This window comes from Homo sapiens, chromosome 13, assembly GCF_000001405.40.
Source record: "Homo sapiens chromosome 13, GRCh38.p14 Primary Assembly".
Lineage (NCBI taxonomy): Eukaryota > Metazoa > Chordata > Mammalia > Primates > Hominidae > Homo > Homo sapiens.
Window position 1 is genome coordinate 48,522,869 of NC_000013.11, and position 20,478 is coordinate 48,543,346.

General features: G+C 39.5%; 1 protein-coding gene and 1 long non-coding RNA gene across 15 annotated transcripts in view, besides 4 other annotated features; one reads left to right on the forward strand and one right to left on the reverse strand.

Moving 5' to 3' along the window:
* Positions 1 to 13,027, reverse strand: part of RCBTB2 (RCC1 and BTB domain containing protein 2) — a 46,933-nt gene extending 33,906 nt beyond the window's left edge. For 7 of the 14 annotated variants that reach the window (NM_001352426.2, NM_001352425.2, NM_001286830.2 and 4 more), the window contains exons 1-2: positions 10,160 to 10,212; positions 1,791 to 1,889 (exon numbers count right to left, since the gene is read on the reverse strand). Coding sequence is in view for 1 of the 14 variants with exons in the window: in NM_001352429.2 (NP_001339358.1) it covers positions 12,815 to 12,868 (54 nt within the window). In the remaining 13 variants the exon portion in view is untranslated. Of the gene's footprint in view, positions 1 to 1,790; positions 1,890 to 10,159; positions 10,213 to 12,814 lie in introns of those variants that run through there. The other 7 variants (NR_147985.2, NM_001286832.2, NM_001352428.2 and 4 more) reach the window with 2 other exon arrangements.
* LOC124903174 (uncharacterized) overlaps positions 4,836 to 20,478 on the forward strand; it is a 28,657-nt gene continuing 13,014 nt past the window's right edge. Inside the window, exon 1 of the long non-coding RNA XR_007063795.1 lies at positions 4,836 to 9,181. This is a non-coding gene — a long non-coding RNA (uncharacterized LOC124903174). The remainder of the gene's footprint in view (positions 9,182 to 20,478) is intronic.
* Positions 8,528 to 8,697: an enhancer, noted in NCBI's record as "active region_7732". NCBI's record gives its function as "activates an Ori minimal core promoter by ATAC-STARR-seq in GM12878 lymphoblastoid cells {active_cell/tissue: GM12878}" and the evidence as "EXISTENCE:reporter gene assay evidence [ECO:0000049][PMID:35858748]".
* Positions 9,588 to 9,827: an enhancer, noted in NCBI's record as "active region_7733". NCBI's record gives its function as "activates an Ori minimal core promoter by ATAC-STARR-seq in GM12878 lymphoblastoid cells {active_cell/tissue: GM12878}" and the evidence as "EXISTENCE:reporter gene assay evidence [ECO:0000049][PMID:35858748]".
* Positions 9,868 to 10,267: a silencer, noted in NCBI's record as "silent region_5335". NCBI's record gives its function as "represses an Ori minimal core promoter by ATAC-STARR-seq in GM12878 lymphoblastoid cells {active_cell/tissue: GM12878}" and the evidence as "EXISTENCE:reporter gene assay evidence [ECO:0000049][PMID:35858748]".
* Positions 10,378 to 10,427: a silencer, noted in NCBI's record as "silent region_5336". NCBI's record gives its function as "represses an Ori minimal core promoter by ATAC-STARR-seq in GM12878 lymphoblastoid cells {active_cell/tissue: GM12878}" and the evidence as "EXISTENCE:reporter gene assay evidence [ECO:0000049][PMID:35858748]".

Sequence of the window (20,478 nt, forward strand, 5' to 3'; positions counted from 1 at the left end):
AATAATCAAAATACAGCCAAGTCTAAACAGTGTTCCTTATCAATGTTTTCTATGCCCTTGAGGATATTAGTAATTTTTTTCCTCAGCTATAAAAAGATCTCTCAGAATACGAGAAATCATAATTTATTCAGAATTATTATAACTTAAAATTATGAAAATTAATAGCAAAGTATTACTTTCTAACATTTGGAAACAAGTAAAAAAGATATGCTTGCTTTTTAGAAGATTACTTAGAAGTTTCTCACTTAAAAATTTATAAACCGATCTGATTGACAATATGGAAAGATATTCTGTCATTTTAATTAATACTTACTACATATTATCTATGGCATCTTAGCAGATCTGTTAAAATCCTAATTTTCTCTAAGACCCAGCATGACTGCCACTGAGATTTACATCAATGTGGATCCTGATTACCCAAATGGGCTGGGACCTCTTCTCTGTATTTCCACAGCACTTTTTGTTTTGTTTTTAACTACATTGAAGGCATTTTTCAAATTCTGCCTCATATGACAGTTATTCTTGTATGATGTACCTTCTCTATTAATTGGTAAGTTCTTCAAAAGGGCAGACGATTCCTTCATTGCTATAACCCACAGCCCATGGCTCAGAGTAAAACGCAACGTATTCATACAAAGCATCCTTAGAACCCAGCTTTTTGTATACTGGAACTGGCCTGTAACCAAAGTTCCCTCTCCTTCTGCCTCACCCTATCAGGAAACACTTTTTCCATATTTGCCCCAAGTTTACTGGAATAAAAAATAAAAGGAGAGGAGAAGAAAGAGGGAGAGAAGAGAAAAAAGAAGGGACCAAGTAGAGATGTGACTGCCCCTCACTGCACTACCCTAGGCCCCCTTTCGTTCCTAGCAGAAGGGAAATCTTCCTAATGTGCTAAAATCATGAAAAACCGATCCTGGGCTTTTGAGTAGGAAATAACCTCTTTTCAGTGTCTTTTATCAATTTCAAGTAAAATTAAACTCTTTAAAATTAGAATGGTAGGAAAACAGGCCATTCTGTTTATCTGACATCAGGTTAAGACATAATTGTATGTATGTCATGGAAATTACCACATTCAAAGAAATGACATGCAGGATTCAAATTGAATGAAATGTAAGATTAACATAATTTCATATTTGTCAATCAGAAAGTCCTTCAAGATTTAAAAATAAATCAAGATTAATTACTATTGTATAATACTATTAAAAAGTGTTTTGAATTTTTTAGCATTGTGGGAGATGGTTGGCTTTTTTTTTTACATTATTTCAATGTGATGCATACATAATAAAGAAAACTATCATCCCCAATTTGCATGTATAGTTTGTGCACTACACGTGGAGATTACCTTACCCTGTTATCCATGTGATTTCACCAGGCTATTAACAATATGTTGATATATATACTTAAAATAACAATTCACAATATACATACAGAAAGCCATATCCATGATGTGATAAAATGTATTCTAAATAACAACAGCAATAACAACAGTAAAAATAAAGTTATTCTGTGCCAGGCACTAAGTGCCTCACCTTATTTAATCTTTATAATATCCAAATGAAACAGGTTAATCATTGCCTCCATTTTATTCACACATTTCAGTAACGTGACCAATAGTCACCAACCAATCAGTGTCAGAGCCAGTATTTGAACCAGGACTATTCCAAAGCCCTTGTTTTGGGACCCTCCACTGTATTTCAGGGCTAGATACTTTAAGTTTTTCTTGTGTACATTCTCAACAGTTCTATTTTATACTGACTGGCTGGGAGCATTCCCTCCAAAAACTTTTGTACCTGATTGTTTTAAATTTCTGGAACCCAGTATTCAGTCATCTTTAATCCTGTTCCTTTTAGATCCTTGTAAAGTTGTCTTCTAGAGCAAAGTTAATGTGACTGGAAATATAAATACACAAATAAATTCTATTAGAGAAAAACAGAAGGAAAAGAATATACTGTCTTGCACATTTAACAATCCATTCTTTATCTGAGAAAAATACAGCTTAAAAATTGTATCTGTGCTATCTACTATTAAAAAGTCAGCAGCAGAGATGCTCTATTATAAAAATACTAAAGTTATAAAATGTAACTTTAGAATATCATACTTTATAAGCTTCAGGAGAGGGTTTCAACAATTTGGACACTGAAACACATGAAAAAATGCACACTAAGGAGAATTTAATCTATAGTATTTCCATATGGAAAATAAAAGAGAATCCATGTGGAAATGTAAAAAAAAGCAAAACTTTCAAACTTTTAGAAGTATAGAAATATATTTATGACCTCAGAGCAGTTAAAGATTTCATACATAAGACAGGAAAGCATAAAACACAAAGAAAAGAGCAGTAAACTTGAACAAAAGGAAAAATATGCCACAGAATGGGGGAAGATATTTGTAACATGCATAATGGACAGCTTGGAAAGGATCCATACACAAAATATATAAAGAATGCCTGCAAATCAGTAAGAATAAAACAAACGACACAATTCAAAAGTGAGCAAAGGATTCATGATATATATATATATATATATATATATATATATATATATATATATATTCAGTTATATATGTATATATAACTGAAATTTCACAAAATAATTCTTACTCCTCCTACATGAGATGCTTGATATCTTTTCCATTTTTCTACTTTATGCTATTTTATTCTACCCTACTCTATCCTATTTTATCTTGTTCAATTTCATTTTAAAAGAAAATGCTGATCTCAGCCCACTAATTTCCAGATCACTAACAAGTCCTGCAATTTTAGCAACACTGCCCTAGATAAACTCTAGAGCATACACACAAATATTCCCAATAGCAAAAAGCAAGAAAGAACAAATTGATCAACAAAACCAATAAACTGTGGCATATGCATACTATATAGCTATTAAAATAAATTATCTAGAATCAAAACAGGTATATCTACAAAACAATGTTCACCAAAATCACTAAGTCACAAAATGATACATATGGTATCATTTGATAACATTTGATATTTGATAACATTTTAAAACATGCAGAAGACAGTACTATTTTAATGTGTTATGGATACCAACATATGCATGGCTAGACTTTGATGGGAATTTTTTCGTGGGGAAGTTTTGGTGGAGGGAATACCAAAGATAAAAGGTCCCATGTAACTCTGTCAATGAATTGGTATGCTACAGCTTTTCCATCTGACAAGATGGTTTTCAAGATTTTAAGCTTAAATTAATCATCTCAGGATGGAGAGATTAAGGTTACCCAATGTTAAAGAAAATAAACTCTTAAAATGAGAATGCTATCATTCTAATTTTGCCTTTACCAAGGACATGGAAATTCAATAAACGTTTGGTAATGAAAACTCATAAACTATAATTTCTTTAGCCATCTGTAAAATAAAATTGAATCAATACCCTAGGAAGGCCAGGCATGGTGGCTCACACCTGTAATCCCAGCACTTTGAGGATCGCTTGAGGCCCCCAAAAGTTTGAGACTAGCCTGGGCAACATAGGAAGACACCGTCTCTACAGAAAACTTAAAAATTAGCTACACGTGGTAGTACACGCCTGTAGTCCCAGCTACTTGGGAGGCTAAGATAGGTGGATCGCTTGAACCCAGGATGTGGAGGCTGCGGTGAACCATGATCACACCACTGCACTCAGCCCGGGTGACAAAGATCTTATCTCAAAAAATAAAAAATAAATAATTTTTTTAATGAGCTATGATCGCACCACTGCACATTAGCCTAAGCAACAGAGCAAGACTCTGTCTCTAAGAAAATAAAAATAGCCTGGGCGCGGTGGCTCATGCCTGTAATCTCAACATTTTGGGAGGCAGAGATGGGAGGATTAATTGAGGTCAGAAGTTTGGAGACCAGCCTGGCCAACATGGTGAAACCCCATCCCTACTAAAAATACAAAAATTAGCCAGGCGTAAGAGTGTGTACCTGTAGTCCCAGCTACTTGGGAGGCTGAGGCAAGAGAATCACTTGAACTTGGGAGGCAGAGGTTACAGTGATCCAAGATCACACCACTGCACTCCAGCCTGGGTGACAGAGTGAGACTCCATCTCAAAAAATAATAATAATAAATAGATTTTTTTTAAATAGGAGGATTAAATAACATATCCAATGAGTAGCATTTATACTATTGTACCTGTAAGAAAAATCCAAAATAGTTAAAAAAATGTTTAATATCAGTGTATTAAAATGGCAAAAATGTGCTTTCTACTTATGGTCTAAATCTGCTTACAAATGTCCCCCCTTTTCTGCATAGGAGGGCAATGTTTCTTGTAGAGCCAAGGCAGAAGCTGGCAACAGTATTGGGAAGATTTTCTTCATAGTGACAGTGTTACAGCATAAGATCATCTCATATCATCTTACTATAGGATGACAGTAATATTATCTTACTATCTTACTATGTGTTACTTTATTAGTTTTTCCCTTATATGTTTGTTTTGGGATATATGACTTGGCTCATATATATATATATATGATATATATATATATGATATATATTTATATATGATATATATATATGATATATATTTATATTAAAAGGTGCTTTGTTCTTTGCAAAACAGTCTCCTATGTTATTTCCTCATTTTATTAAAATGTAACCTAAAACTGTTTTTACAGAATCTTATTATACTAATGTTTGCCTTGCAATATAAATAGAAAATGGAATGATAAGTAACCTCTCCACGCAGAAGTTCCTGCCACTGATCTCTGTCTTTAAAGGTTCCAAATGGGACACTCGGTGGCCAGTAGTTCAAGTCTGTACAAAAGTAATGTTTCAAAGCCAAATATATATCAAGTAAGGTAATCTGTCACATGACATTTCCTATTTCAGCTGTTTTCCTAATTGTACGGTTCACTAATTTATTTTTAAAGTATCCCTGTTTGGGGCAGATAACTCCTTATTTCTATATATTCTATGTTGAGAGTTTTCTCTACACTTTTAAAAACTACACAGTTGAAGACTACTGAACAAGGGGACACTCTTTTGATAATGTGATAAACACATTCATTCTTAATCCTCACATAAAGTCAAATAATTCATTTGCCTGTACAAAAGATATAACAGGCAGTCTGTACATATTATTTGTGGCAAAGTAATCAGTATTAATCAGTGTATCTGCTACACAATGTGTTATATTACTCGGTAATACCTCTGACCTAAAAAATGAGTTAAGCTGATTATGGGACATAGGTTCATTTGCCTAATTCATTCAACAAATATTAATTCAGTGCCTGCAGTAGGCACTGAATTGAAAGCAAATACATGAGAGCAAACAGAATAACGTAGAGCAAAACAATATCCAGCTCTCTTAGGGACTTCTGTCCACATTACCCCAACCCAATGGTAGGTTTTAAATGCTGACATTTTGCAGTTAATCAGGGGCTTCTAAATGCTAATAATTCTTCTTTAGAAGTGATTACAGAAGAAGGGGTGAAAAAAAATAGCAATTCCTGCAGAGAAGTCCCAGTATTACATATTTTAAAATTCAACTTAATGAGATCAACTCTAAAGCTATGCTTGAGAAACACACTGATATTTTTAGAATTCTCTCAATATAGAACTCTATGCTTAAAATTATCCCATCTGGGTGGGTAACACATTTGATGATGCTTTTATAATCAAAAGAAACAGGAAATTAAATAATATCGATATCTTTTAGGGTACCAGCATGCAGTTTACAGCATCGGTGTGTTAATGAGCTGCAGACCACATAAATTTCAATAGGATAATGATGGTTCCCAAATATATCCTTAGGTGAGTCATTAGATAGTATCTTTAATAGCTTTTTAAGGGTCATCTTCAAGTTATAAATAATATAAATACGTATACAATAAAACATGATCCCAGTTTTCACTTGCAAAAAGGGATAGTGTTAGCTGTAATATTAGCTCCACTTAAATGAGATGTCTAAAATCAATGACAAGTAACAGTAAAATACCTACATGGCTAATTAAAATGGAACAATTATAAACAGGACGGACAAAACTAAAACACTAAAAGCATAACTAAAACTAGCACACAACCTCAAAGGAAATGGTATTGTCATATGTTCATGAAAAACAGAAAACTGTTGTGTAGAATACAGAAACCCTGTTGCTATTTTAATTATTTGTTTTTTTAAAAAGTTTTCCAAATTTCAACAAGAGTGATGAGTCAGATCTTCAGTACAAAGCAAAGCGGTATTTAATTGAAAAGATTACTGAGCTTGACAACTTCAGTCTTTTCAGCCACACACGGCAAAAGTGTCATTTTCAAATATGAAAAATAACCAACATAAATGATAAAAATATTTTTAAGTTGTTATATGCACTAATGTGAGTTGAGATTTGAGATCTCATTTGTAAATCCATTTTAAATCTCGGTCCTTATAGATTTAATCCAATTTTTCAAAAAAAAATCTTAACACGCCTGCTACAGAGATCCTAATTGTTAAAGATCTTTGACCCACAGCATATATATTCCTTCAACATGGCAGGCCCTCTTGGCCTTGGCTCATTTCCACTTGAGATTGGTTTTGTTCAGTATTATATACATACATACACGCAGCATAATACAGGACATATTATAATGCAGTCAAAATTTATGTTTTATTCACATACTATCTCCTACTGGTACTTGTTAGCTCAAAACATCTTCCATAGGGAGATATACATAAGAGATATTAGCTCAGGCCAATTAGCAAGGCTGAAGACGTAAAAGAAACCCACTCTAATGTCAAATTAATGCTGAAAAATTATTATGGTTTAAGTTTCCTGGAAACTTTCACGTTGTTAGAATGTGATCACCATGTGAACTAGATACATGTTCCTTCCAGACAATGAAAGCTGGAAGTATCATCTCAGCCTTCCATTGATGGACATTATCAATATCCCTTACCAGGAGGCAAGCCATCCACTCCTTTGAAGTAAAATCTCCAAGTAGAACTCTCTTTTAGTCTTTAACAAGAGTCCTTAATGTCACTCTGTAACCCCAATAATTCCTGGTCTCCAATCTACCTTTTCCTGGACAATTTTAATCTGTAGCAATATTTATTTATTTATTTATGAGATGGGGTCTTACACTATTGCCCAGACTGGAGTGCAATGGTGTGATCATGACTCACTGCAGCCTCAACCTTCCCGGCTCCAGTGATCCTCACACTACAGCCTCCCAAGTATCTGAAACTACAGGTGTGTGCCACCATGCCTGGCTCATTTTTTTTTTGTTCGTTTTTCTGTAGAGACAGAGTTTTGCCATGTTGTCCCGGCTGGTCTCTAACTCCTGGGCTCAAGAACATTTGACTGCCTTGGTCTCCCCCAAAGCGCTGGGATTACAGGTGAGCCACCGCGCCCGGCCTGATTTGTAGTAATTTAAATCCAAGTAAACCTCAACAGTAGCAGTATCTTGGGGCATTTAAATTTTACTTTAACCAACTGATAAAACCAAACTTGAATATGACAATTTCATAGGGCATAAGCAAATTCCATGGACTCCTTACATTTATGGTCCTAGATTAATAATATTTTGGTGTTTGAACAGAGTATTTGTAATCTATGTAAGTAAAGGACATGAGGGGAAACACACTTTACTTTCTAAAATTATTCCTCTCCATCACCCTCTTTCTCTAAGCCTTCTTTAATTATGGATTGAAATTTAGTTAGGTCTATCTGGTTCATTCAGATACCTGTAAGAGAGGTCATTTATAGCATAACATCACACCAGGTGATTTAAGCTCCTCTCCTACACAGTTTCAAATACAGAAAAGCAATGACCATTCTTAGAAAAGATCTTCACTAGTCATCCACAGTCAGAGGGACATTTAGAAGCAATTGCAAAAACTGTGGAGACAACGTACAGTTTTTCTCAGCACAATTTACATAGATGTCTGGCTAGCTCTTCCTTGTAAAAGTCCAGTGTCTTCATTTGATGTGCTAAGTTAAACTGTAAACTCCTGAATAATTTGAACTCTTATTTAGGAAAAAAATGTTTTTTCACCTATATACTATAAAAAATGGTGACGTTTATCACAAGGGTCATGCCGTGGGCTCCCATAAAAGACATTGTAGAGCACGATAAAGAACGTTTTCTCCCAGAAGAACATTTATTTCTAAAACCCAGTTCCCCATGTTAAACATCACCTTTGGTTTATCCTTCAGACTCACCGTACCCATGATGTTTAAAATTGCAACCCACACCTGCACTCCCAATTCCCTTTCTCTGTTCTCCTTTTTCATTTTTTCATAGCATTTGTACTTTTCTAACCTAATATACAAATATGTTTTTTATCATTCTTTGCTAGAATGTAAGCTCCAGAGGGAAGGGATCTTTGTCTCTTTTGTTCATTGATGCATCCCAAGCATCAAGGACAGGACGTGATAGAAAATCAATTTTTGTTGAATAAATGAATGAATCTAGGTTGAGTTCAGTAAAAAAATATCTCTGGAGTAAGTTAGTTTCCAATTTTATTTCTACAATTAACAAATACCTTCTGAGCTTCAATTATGGTGGAGATAGATTGATCATACCCTTACAAATATATAATATCAGATGGTGATTAAGTGCTACAAAGCCGAACCAGCAGTACAAGAGTTTGGAGAGCCAGACATTTTAGGTGAGGTAGTCACCTCTCTGAAATGATGGCAATTGTTTCAAGACTTAAATAAAGTTCTGTGCCATGCAGATTTGCGAAGAGTGGGAAAGTGAGCATTGAGCATACTGGAAATACCAAACGCAGACGCCCTGGGATGAGGGTCCGCTTGGCGAGCCCAGCAAGAGCAATAAGGCCTGAGTGGTGGAAGTGGGGTATGCAAGAACGTATCATTCTTGTTGCTTTTACCTGCTGCTTAATAACACGCATGTACTGTCTAGCAGGAAATAAAGAGATTACGTTTCACCTAGAATACTCATTCTCTGAGCCTAAGTGGCTCTTCTATTCCAGCCCCCAAATATCTGTATCAGCACATCATATAAGATTACAAAGCACAGAGTAATGACATTGTTAGAAACTCTTCACAGTAGCCCCAGGAGTCACGAAACTGACTTAACTAAGACCCACTGTCTAGTAAGGTGTAAAACCCAGCAGGAACGCAATACTAGGAAGGTGCAAAGCCAGGAGGCTCAATAAACGTTAAACAGTGTCTGGGGGAAAGAGCAACGATCCAGAGCACTGTTTGTGAACTCAACCACTTTTATTCAGCTCTGACAAGGTAAGTCGCCAAGCGCGGTACAAAGTAGCTCCATGAAATGCGTTTTGTTATAGTCCTGGTCTCGAACTGTTGCAACATTTTATGTAATTTTTGCAAAGAACAAAAGCAAAAAGTTCATTCTAAATTAGCCTTCCAACTCAGTTCTTTCTCCGCCAAGACGGAGCACTTGGAAAGTTTTCAATGTCTGAAAACCTCTATTTCCAGGGCTGAGCAGAGCACTATGTTGCGGCTTAAGACGCTCGGCGATTTCTTCCCATCCCTCCGCAGTTCCAAAACGGCTTCGCCTAACAAAGTCAAACTTTTCGCGCTATTCCTGGACATCAGGACCAAATGTCGAAAGCATATACTGCCACTGAGTTAGTGAGCCGGGCCGGTGCCCGGGACCTGGGGTACTAGATTTATGGGACGGGAGCCTAGGGGTCGAGGCCACAGAAATGAAAACATCGGCAACATATGCAGTGCAGCGAGTGGGTTAGGAGGGAGAAACTTCAGGCAGGACGCTCCCTCGGGACCTGTGACGCCCCCCCAGCCACACCAGACGTGGGAGCTTAGGATGAGAGCGGCCTCCGAGCAGATGATCACCCTGGAACGACGCCAAACGCGACCCCTACCAGAGGACTCGCGCATGCGCAGCGCAGCCTGGGCCGGCGGCCTGGGCAGGATGTAGTCGCGAGCAGCGCACCGGGCCCACGCCAGCGGAATTGCGCATGCGCAGGGCCGCCTCTGCCTGCGGCCTGGGCTGGGTGTAGCCCCGGAACCTAGCTCTTAACTCCCGCCAGCAGTTTTACGCATGCGCGACGACGCCTAGGCCTGTGGCACGGTCGCGGCTCTAGTCCCCTGGGCCCCTCAGCTGTCTCTGGCGGGGAGGTCGGGCCGCAGGGGCGGGGAGGGGTGGCCTGCCCCAGTGGTACCTGACAGCATCCCACGTCACGGCCGCGATCCCCCTCGGCCTCCCACACCACTCCTCCACCCTCTTACCTCCTCGCAGGCCGGAGCCTTGTCCGCTCCGCCTCCTGGGTAGCGGTTACTGCACGGTCAGGGGCCCGGCGCCGCGATGAGTTGGCGCCTCCCCCTGAAACGGCCCGGCCTCGGCGGGATGCGCTCGGGTGCCCGGCCGAGACGGAAACGAAGGGAGCGCAGACAAGAGGAGGGGGCTGGCGACGGCGTCTCGCCCCTCCTCTCCTCCCTAGGCTGCCCACCGCCGCCCCTCCCCTTTCTCGCAGACGCCCCCTCCCCTCGGAGTTGACCCCCGGGAGTCTCCCATTGGGGCCGCCTCCGCTTTTCCAGGGAGTTCCTCCGTGGGTCACCCCCACCTTCTCCAGGGTTATGTTCTCGCAAATTTTGGGAATTTGTGGATACCCGACCTAGAAGGATAAGGCGTGTATGATGCTGAGAGCAACCTTTTCCACAGCCCCTCTCCTCCAGCCTGCCCCAGCTTTTCTTCTATTGCTGGCCCCTCTATCTGGGGGCTCCGATCACTTCACGTTTTCACCCCATTGCTGTGGGGCGGAAGTCTTGTAGCCCCCTGTAGTACAAATGCTGAAATAATGAGGATGTGTGCTGGGGGGTTCAGGGGGATGACCTCAGTTACCTTGGGGCCAAGGGCTTCGAAAACAGCCACCTTCTCCCCTTATGATTATATTTTGCAGTAATTTATTATATTACACTGCACTTCTGTTGGCCTTTGTAGATTTAAGTAAAATGCACCACAACTTTGCAGTGTGCAATAATTTCTTCCACTGCACTACACTTAAATTGACCTGAGTGGGTTTTGGTTAAATGCTCAACAATTAAATGTTATTAGCTATTCCTGTGAAGTAAGCTACTTGCTTTTATACTGGCTGTTTCATGAGGACACTGGTTCCTCTACAGTGTAGAGCCAAAAGTAGTAAAGCCAAAGAGAAAAACTAACATTCCAAACCACAGTGACCGTGTCAGTCTGTTTCGTCTGGCTTTTGTCATTTCTTCGGAAAAACATCATTCTAAAATGTATAACTGCCTTTCTGCTACATAGGGCAGACATTTATCTCTATTCTCTGAGCATAGCCCACTGAGCCTCAGAAGGAGGCACGCAAAATGGTACACAGGTATTTCTTGTAGAGCTCTAAATGGAAGAAAAAGTAAGTATACATTAACAGGAAGTTGCAGCGATAGTGCAGAGAGGCATCGTGTGCCTGCCCCAAGTTTCTCCACTGGTTACATCTTATCAATGAAAGAAATTTATGAGTTAAACAGGTTTGCTCTCAGAAAAAGCTCACTTCAGTGATGATAGCTGGCATTTTTTTTTTAAGCACCTATTGTGTGCCAAGAGGTTTATCTTATTTGGAGCTCACAATAATCCTGTAAGGCAAGGATTATCCTTACTTTACAGATAAGGCAACTCAGGCCCCAAGAGATTAAGTTTCTTTCATCAGCAACCATGGCAAGATCTGTTTGCCTTGCGCACTTGGTCTTTTACGCATTATGGACAGCTGAAGTTCATGCAGGCCTTACGGTGTGCTTCAGCTGAAGCCTGACAATTAGCTAACAATAAAAACATGTCTTAGTGTTTTGAAAACTGTGATATTATCTCAGAAGTTAAAACTTTAAAATATACCTATAAAAGAATGTGTTTCACTAAAGATTTTAATTTTATATGGGTCCAACAGTTTTTCCCAGGGCGGTCAAAATTAAAAGTAAGAAGTAAAAATGTCTCCATCACATATAAGTTTCCTTCAACACTTTTGGATAATTTGGTCTACTAAACTTCACTGTATTGCTGAATTCAGTAGACTAAAAATTTAGACTCTGAGAGAGTATAGGTTAGTATTTCAGGAGTTAAAGTTCCCATCACCACATCTCCCAAGTTTACCTACATCTGTACCTGTGCACTCTATTCCTTCCCATTACTGGGAATGAGCTGTGCATGCTCTTATTTAAGTTCAACTCTTCCACCTTTGTATTAGATCCTGTCTTCCTTACAGTCTCAAGGTTTTCACTCAGGTAGTTGTCACCTCTCAATCCTACATTATTAATTTTTGTATCATTAATTTTTGGATCATTCCCATAAGCATATTAACATTGCGCAACATTTGCCTATCTTTTAAAAAGTTCCTTGATTATATGTCCCCTATCAGCTACCAATGTGTTCTCTGGTCTCTTCCAAAATGTCTTAAAAGAGTCACTTATACTAACTGTATCCTCATCCCCTCCTCCTATTCATCCTCTTTTTTTTTTTTTTTTTTGAGATAGAATCTTGCTCTGTTGCCCAGGTTGGAGTGCAGTGGCGCAATCTCAGCTCACTGCAACCTCCACCTCCCGGGTTCAGGTGATTCTCATGCCTAAGCCTCCCAAGTAGTTGGAACGGCAGGTGTGTGCCACCATGCCCAGCTAATTTTTGAATTTTTAATAGAGATGGGGTTTCGCCATGTTGGCCAGAATGGTCTAGAGCTCCTGACCTCAGGTGATCTATCCACCTCAGCCTCCTAAAGTGCCGAGATTATAGATGTGAGCTATCATGCTTGGCCCTCCTATTCATTCTTGAATCTATTTCAGCCAGGCTTTTGCCCCTACCCCTCCATTGAAACTCCTCTTGGCAAAGTCACCAATGACCTCAGAATTGCTAAATCAGTGGTTACTTTTCCATTATCTCACCTGAACTATCAGCAGCATTAGAAGCATTTGCTTACAGCTGCCATCTTGAAGCATTCATCTTCTTCTGTTGGCCTTCAGGTGGCCCCTGTCTCTTGGTTCGTCCATCTCACTGGCAGCTCCATTGGCTCATCCACCACTTCTCCAGCCATTGGCATACCCAGAGTTTGGTTCTTGGACTTCTCTATCTTCTCGTTCCCTTAGTAATTTTATTTCAAGACATGGTTTTAGTCCTGCCACTTCTTATGTCCTAACAAGTTCATGACACTACTCTTGTGAAACTAGGAGCCCTTGTCCTTTTCCAGCCCACAATGGGGATCTAGCTGCAATAAAAGTCTTCCCTTTCTTCCCTTTTTAAACCCCCTAATTACTTCTGCTTTTGGGGTATCTTTAAGCCTCCTTTAGTTATCCAAAAGCAGAGGAATTCATCTTGCTTTTTTCTTTTCAGGTATCCAGGCACCAAGGCCCTAATCACAAGAAAAGGTGGATGGGGCCGTCTTTTGACTTTTTCTTGGAAATTCAGAAAGTCTAATTACGCTTCAGGGAAGAGGAAAATGTTCTTTTTTTCCTCTTTGCGTCTCCAGAACAAAAATTTAGCACCAGTAAATTTCTACATCAGTCTGCTTGTTACAGATTGAATGCATGAATGAATGACTGCAAGCAGCCTGCACTTTGGTGCCCTAAGTGCCATTGATTAGGTGAATGACCTTGGGTAGCACCTTAGTTTTCTAGAACTTAAATTCCTTCAGACTCCATTAAATTGGTGCACTGCCCAGCTCTGTGTTTTGTAGAGGTATCAGTCACACTGCACCTTTACTGATGCATGCTATTACCATGCTGTATAGAATTGTGCATGTCAGCATGGTATTATAATTGGTGTTAGAATATAAAAGTGATAAAGATGATAATAGGCACATATACACTTACTGTGGCAATAGTGAAAGAATGACAAAATACCAAGAGGTGATCAGAGAAGGCTTTCCAAAACAGATTACTTTAGCATTAAGTTTTCAGTGTGGGCTGGGTGCCATGGCTCATGCCTGTAATTCCAGCACTTTGGGAGGCGGAGATGGGCGGATCACTTGAGGTCAGGAGTTCTTGATCAGCGTGGCCAACATGGTGAAACCCCGTCTCTGCTAAAAATACAAAAATTAGCCAGGCATGGTGGTGGGTGCCTGTAATCCCAGCCACTTGGGAGGCTGAGTCAGTGTGAGTTAGCTAAGAGAACAAAGGTTAGGGATGGAAGTGTTAGGGAAGGGAAGTAGTCTAAGTAGAATAAGAAATATGATGTGTTTGAGAATTATAAATTGCTCAGTAAGGCTGAAACAAAGGCTATATGGAGGGAATAGGGCAATGGTAGGAAATTAAAGTAACCATTCATTCATGAATGGACACTAAGGATGATTCTTTATCTCAACAATTGTGAATAGTGCTGCAGTGAACATGGGAGCACAGATATCTCTTCAACATACTGATTCATTTTTGTTGGACATATACTCAGTAGTGAGATTGCTAAAAATAGTCCTATTTTTAATTTTTTGAGGACCTCTGTACTGGTTTTCGTAATGCCTGTACTAATTTACATTCCCATCAACAAAGGTTCCTTTTTCTCCACATCATTGCCAACACTTGTTATTTTTCATCTTTTTTATAATAGCCATCTTTACAGGTGTGGGGTGATATCTCATCGTGGTTTTAACTTGCATTTCCCTGATGATTAATGATGTTGAACTTTTTTTCATCTACTTGGCCATTTGTAGCTCTTCTTTGATAAATGTTTATTCAGGTCCTCTGCCCATTTTTAAATTGGGTTGTTTTATTGCTACTGAATTGTTTGAATTCCTTATATATTTTGGATATTAACGCCCTAACAGATGCATGGTTTGCATATATTTTCTCCAACTTGCTAGCTTTTCTCTTCACTCTGTTGATTGTTTTCTTTGCTGTACAGAAGATTTACAGTTTGATGTAATTCTGTTTGTCTATTTTTGCTTTAGTTGCCTGTGCTTTTGGGGTCATCTTCAAAAAAATCATTGCCCAGACCAATGTCATGGAGTTTTCCCCTACGTTATAGTAGTTTTATAGTTTCAGGTCTTAAGTTTTAAGTCTTTAATCCATTTTTAGTTGATTTTTGTATTTGGTGTGAGAAAAAGGTTTCATTTCATTCTTCTGCATATGGCTATCCAATTTTCTTACACCATTTTTTTGAAGAGACTGTTCTTTTCCCATTGTGTTCACAGCCTTGTCAAAAATCAATCAGCCTTAAAAAAAAAAAAGACAATTCTGTCATTTGTGACAACATGGATGAACATGGAGGTCATTAAGTAAAATATCACATGATCTCATTCATATGTGGAACCTTAAAAAGTTGAACTCCTAGAAGTTAAGAGCAGAATGGTGGTTACTAGGGGCTGGGGCTGGGAAGGATCAAGGAGATATTGGTCAAAGAATAAAAAAATTCAGTTAGGTAGGAAGAATAAGTTCAAGATACCTATAGTACAATAGGGTGATTGTAGTTAATAACAATGTTTTGTATATTTACAAATTGCCAAGAAAGCAGATGTTAAATGTGCTCAGCAGGCACACACAATGATAAGTATATGAGGTAATGCATATATTACTTAGCTTGATTCAGCCATTTCATAATGTATCCATATACGACAAGATCATGTTATACACCGTAAATATAAAGAATTTTGTTAATTAAAAAATAAATCTGTAAAAATTAATTGTTTAAAATAGCAATAATTTTTTTTTTTTTTTTTTTTGAGATAGAGTCTCCCTCTGTCACCCAGTCTGGAGTGCAGTTTCACGATCTCAGCTCACTGCAACCTCTGCCTTTCAGGTTCAAGTGCTTCTCCTGACTCAGCCTCCCAAGTAGCTGGGACTTCTGGCATGTGCCACCATACCCAGCTAATGTTTGTATTTTTAGTGGAGACCGAGTTTCACCATGTTGGGGCCTGGGGAGTCACGCCCTCCAAACCATAGTCTCATCAGACGGGTTTTACTTAGTGCTATATAACGTGGTCTACTTTCCAATCTGACTCTGGCATAATATCACATGATAGATAAGTAAGCAAATCAAAATATTTTAAGCCCAAATTTATTTTCTTTGCCATATCTTGAAATAGTCTTGCAAAGCTGACTTGTGGGGAAAATCTGTATTTTAAAGAGAATCTTCCTTCTCCCTCCTTTTTCCTGTTCCAGGAGAGAATCACCTCTGATAAGAAACTTTTATAATCTATTCTCTCTGATGCCTGCTACCTGGAGACTTCCTCTGCATAATGAGAACCTTGGTCTCCACAACCCCTTATCTTAACCCAGACATCCCCTTCTGTTGGTTCTATCTGCATAATGGAAACCCTGGTCTCCATAACCCCTTATCTTAACCCAGACATTCCTATCTATTGATTCTAGGTCTTTAGACAATAATTTAACTCTTTCGACCAATTGCCAATCAGAAAAACTTTGAATCTACCTATAACCTGGAAGCCGCTCCTTCCAGTTGTCCCATCTTTCTAGACTAAACCAATATACCCCTTATATGTATTGATTGATGTTTTATGTCTCCCTAAAATGTATAAAACCAAGCTTTATCCTGACCACCTTAGGCACATATTCTCACAATCTTCTAAGGGCTGTGTCATGGGCCATCTGTCACTCATATTTGGATCAGAATAAACCCCTTCAGATATTTTACAGAGTTTGACTCTTTTTGTCAACATTACAGTTACTGGCAACTTAAGTCATTTTTGCCCCATCCTACAGGTGAGATAGTGGAGACCTAGGTAACTTGCCTAAGGTCACATAAGTAGTAAGAGGTGGAACTAGGACTCAAATCCATCTTTGATTCCCATCTGGAGCTCTTTCCACTGGACCATGAGGCCTCTTTCCAAATGAGATGTAAAGGTAAATGGGCCAAATAATAGAAGGCCTTGGCAATGTAACAGCAAGATGTATCATAGGATCTAACAAAATATTTTAAGCAGGAGGACAACATGATGGCTCACCATCATGCCAGTGGGGAGAAGGGTGAGCCTGGAGCCAGGGAAACCACTTGAAGACACTATTGCATCAACCCTGGCAGGACACCAGCTGTCCTTGAATTCAGTGTTAACAGTGGCATGGGCTTAAAGAGAGAGGAGAACATGGATTTGAGAAAATTTTAGAAGTTGAAATTAGCAAGACTGGATATAAAGAGTAGAAAATGGCCAGGTGTGGTGGCTCACACTTGTAATCCCAGCACTTTGTGGGGCTGAGACAGGAGGATGGCTTGAGGCCAGGATTTCAAGACCAGGCTGGGCAACACAGTGAGATCCTGTCTCTACACACACACACACACACACACACACACACACACACACACACACACACACACAAGAACTTAGTGGGATGTGGTGGCTCATTTCTGCAGTCTCAGCTACTAGAGAGGCTGAGGTGGGAGGATCACTTGAGCCCCAGGAGTTCAAGGCCACAAAGCCTTAATTGTGCCACTGTATTCCAGCCAGGGTGATAGAGTTTTCCAGACCCCACAACTCAAAAAAAAAAAAAAAAAAAAAGAGTAGATGTGCAACACTTGCAGGGAATAAAAAAAAATAAAATAATGTGAACTTAGTAAGTCACTTAATATTCTAGGGGCCTCAAAAATCTTTACCTTTAAAAATGGAGGATTAGACTTAGTGTTTCCTTAATATTTTAAGATTTTTGCAAAGCCAACCGATAACAAAATGTGATAAAGATGGCACGTTGTTTGCATATTAAGTAGGAAAAATATACTAAATAAAATGTAACAAATAGAAACTAGCAATACTTTTAAAAATATATTGTACAATTACCAAGATTGGGTTCCTTTCAGTGATGTAAATATGATTCAGTGTTAAGAAATTGATTAATATATTCTTCCATAATAATAGGTCAAAGGAATAGAAATGTTTTAATTCATGATGAGAAAAATGTTTGATAAAATTTAATAGTCTGTAATCATTTTTGATCAAAGAAATCTTTAGTAAGTGGCTACATACGATGAAAGCTAGGTTCATGCTTAATAGTTGTAAATCAAAAATAAAATTCTAAGCCCCTCAACCATCTGAACGGACCCCTCCTCTTGGCCACGTGCACTCCAAGTTAACCTGAAAACCTAGTTCAGGCCATGATGGGAAGGAGGGGTCAGACGTGCCTCATTATACCCTCCTCCCTTTTGGAATTCAGGAAAAGCCAGCCAGCATTAACATTAACTCAGACCTTCAATCTGATAAGAAACATTTATAATTGTTAAATCAAGTTTAGCTTAAAGCTGCCTCCTTACATATTTTAAGTTTGGCCTAAAGGTTTTTCTGTACATCATAAATTATAACAAGTAGAGGTGTACATGGAACACTATGCAGCCATAAAAAAGGATGAGTTCATGTCCTTTACAGGGACATGGATGAAACTGGAAACCATCATTCTCAGCAAAGTAACACAAGAAAAGAAAACCAAACACCTCATGTTCTCACTCATAAGTGGAAGCTGAACAACGAGAACACATGGACACAGGGAGGGGAACATCACACACTGGGGCCTGTTTGGGGGTGGGGGTCTGGGAGAGGGATAGCATTAGGAGAACTACCTAATGTAAATGACGAGTTTATGGGTGCAGAAAACCAATGTGGCACATGTATACCTATGTAACAAACCTGCATGTTGTGCACATGTACCCCAAAACTTAAAGTATAATAATAAAAAATAAATTAAAAAAAGAAAAAAAAACAAGTAGAGGTGTAAACAAACTGTAGCCTACAATTGTGCCAATCACTGAGTTTTCCAAAATCTGATTTCCTTGAATGTACCCTTCATATTTCCCTCAAATTGGTGTGATTGGATCTAGAGTCTCGGTTAGATTGAGGTTCTATATTTTTGGCAAGATGACTTCCTAGATGGTATTGTGTCCTTCCACCAGGAGGCATTTAATGTTGGGTTGTTTCTTTCTGTGATATTGGTAGTTGTTAGTGCTCAATACCTAGATCCATTAACTCAACAGATACTGGAAATGGTGATATCCTAACCCTATCATTTCATCTTCATTTATTAGCTGACATGCTTTTATAAAGGGAAACTTTCTTCCTCAATGATTTGATTTCCCAATGACATAGGAAAAGCATGATAAGCATTTGATTCTGTCTCTTAATTTGCCAGTTTTTATAATAATTTTATAATAATGGGTTGGTCATTAGCAGTCTGCAATGGCCACTAATTGAGTTTCTTTGTTGGTATTGTCGTGAATTCATGAATTTAAGCTTATTTTATTGCCCACAGGACTCTGGTTTTTGTGATGATCACAGAGGAGCAAGCCTGGCTTGTCCGAGACAGTCATATCAATTCATTCTCACTTGATAGTGTCTGGGGTGGCCATGTGACTGGTCCTAGCCATAGACATTTTGATGGGGATGGGAACAGAGAAATTCTAGGCGAAGAAGGGCAGGTCCCTGGTGAAGCCCCATCTCAAGCTGAAAAGCCTGAGACTGCGGCCCAAAGTTAGAACTTACACCGCTGTTTCCCTGCTCGAATCTTGCCTTTTCCAAAGCACCCATGGCCCCACCCTGCCCCCCATCCTGTGCCTATAAAAACATCAGCCTCAGCTGGCAGAGAGAGGAGAAGCAGCTGAATGTCAGGGACTATAGCTGGACATCAGAGAGAAGCAGCCTGACTTCAGAAGGACAGCTTGGTGGCGTAACTTTGGAGAAGAATCTGGCTGGAGACTGCCAGACTTCAGGGGAAGATTACCTTCCCATCTTGTCCCCTTTTCAGCTGCCTCTCTTGGTGATTATCACTTTCATTGGCAATAAAATCCATGCATTTACCATCCTTCAATTCATTCATGAGACCTCATTTCTCCTGGATGCTGGGCAAGAGCTCGGGAGCCATGAGTGAGGATACAAAAAAGCTGTCACACTTGCCCTTTGCCCTCTCTGGCAGAAGGCAGCCGCCTCATATGAAAAGGCAGAGGGCCTGCTGAGCTGTTAGCACTCAAGTTGTCTGTGTACAGCAGGCAAAGCTAAAAGGGCACTGTAGCACTCCCTCTGGGGTTTCAGGGGTTGCAGGCACACCCCCCTGCAAATGCTGCCGCAGGGCCTGCACAGAGTTCACTCCTGCCAGTACCCAAAAGCACTCGCCCTGGCTCCTGCACCTGCTCACCTATGTGCTCCCTCCCGTGAGGAGTGGAGCACAGCAGATCCAAGTGAGTGGAGTTCACTCCTGCTGGCACTGAAGCAGCTGGCTAGTTCCAGCACCCGTGCACTCCAGTTCCTGCCTCATTTGCTCACGGGCTCCCTCCCTCAAGGAATTGAGAGCTGCGGGCTCAGTAAACAAGACAGCTCCTTTGTGAGTCCCACGAAGGGGTCAGGGAAATATCGTGCTTCAATTTCATACAAGGAAGTCCACTAGGAGGCTTCTGAAAAAACACGCCCACCCACCCACTCGGCTGCCCCCTCCTTCCCTTCCTGCTTTTTTTAGGTTGTCACATGAGGACTTGTTTGGAGAGGTGCTGCTGAAGCTTGGAACATCTCAATGGATACATGTGACACAAATGCACAATTGTGAACACTAATACTGCAGATCCAGACTTTTTGACAGGGAAAGCTGTCCAGGATGTGTTGCTGATATAAATACAAGTCATAAAAACTATATAT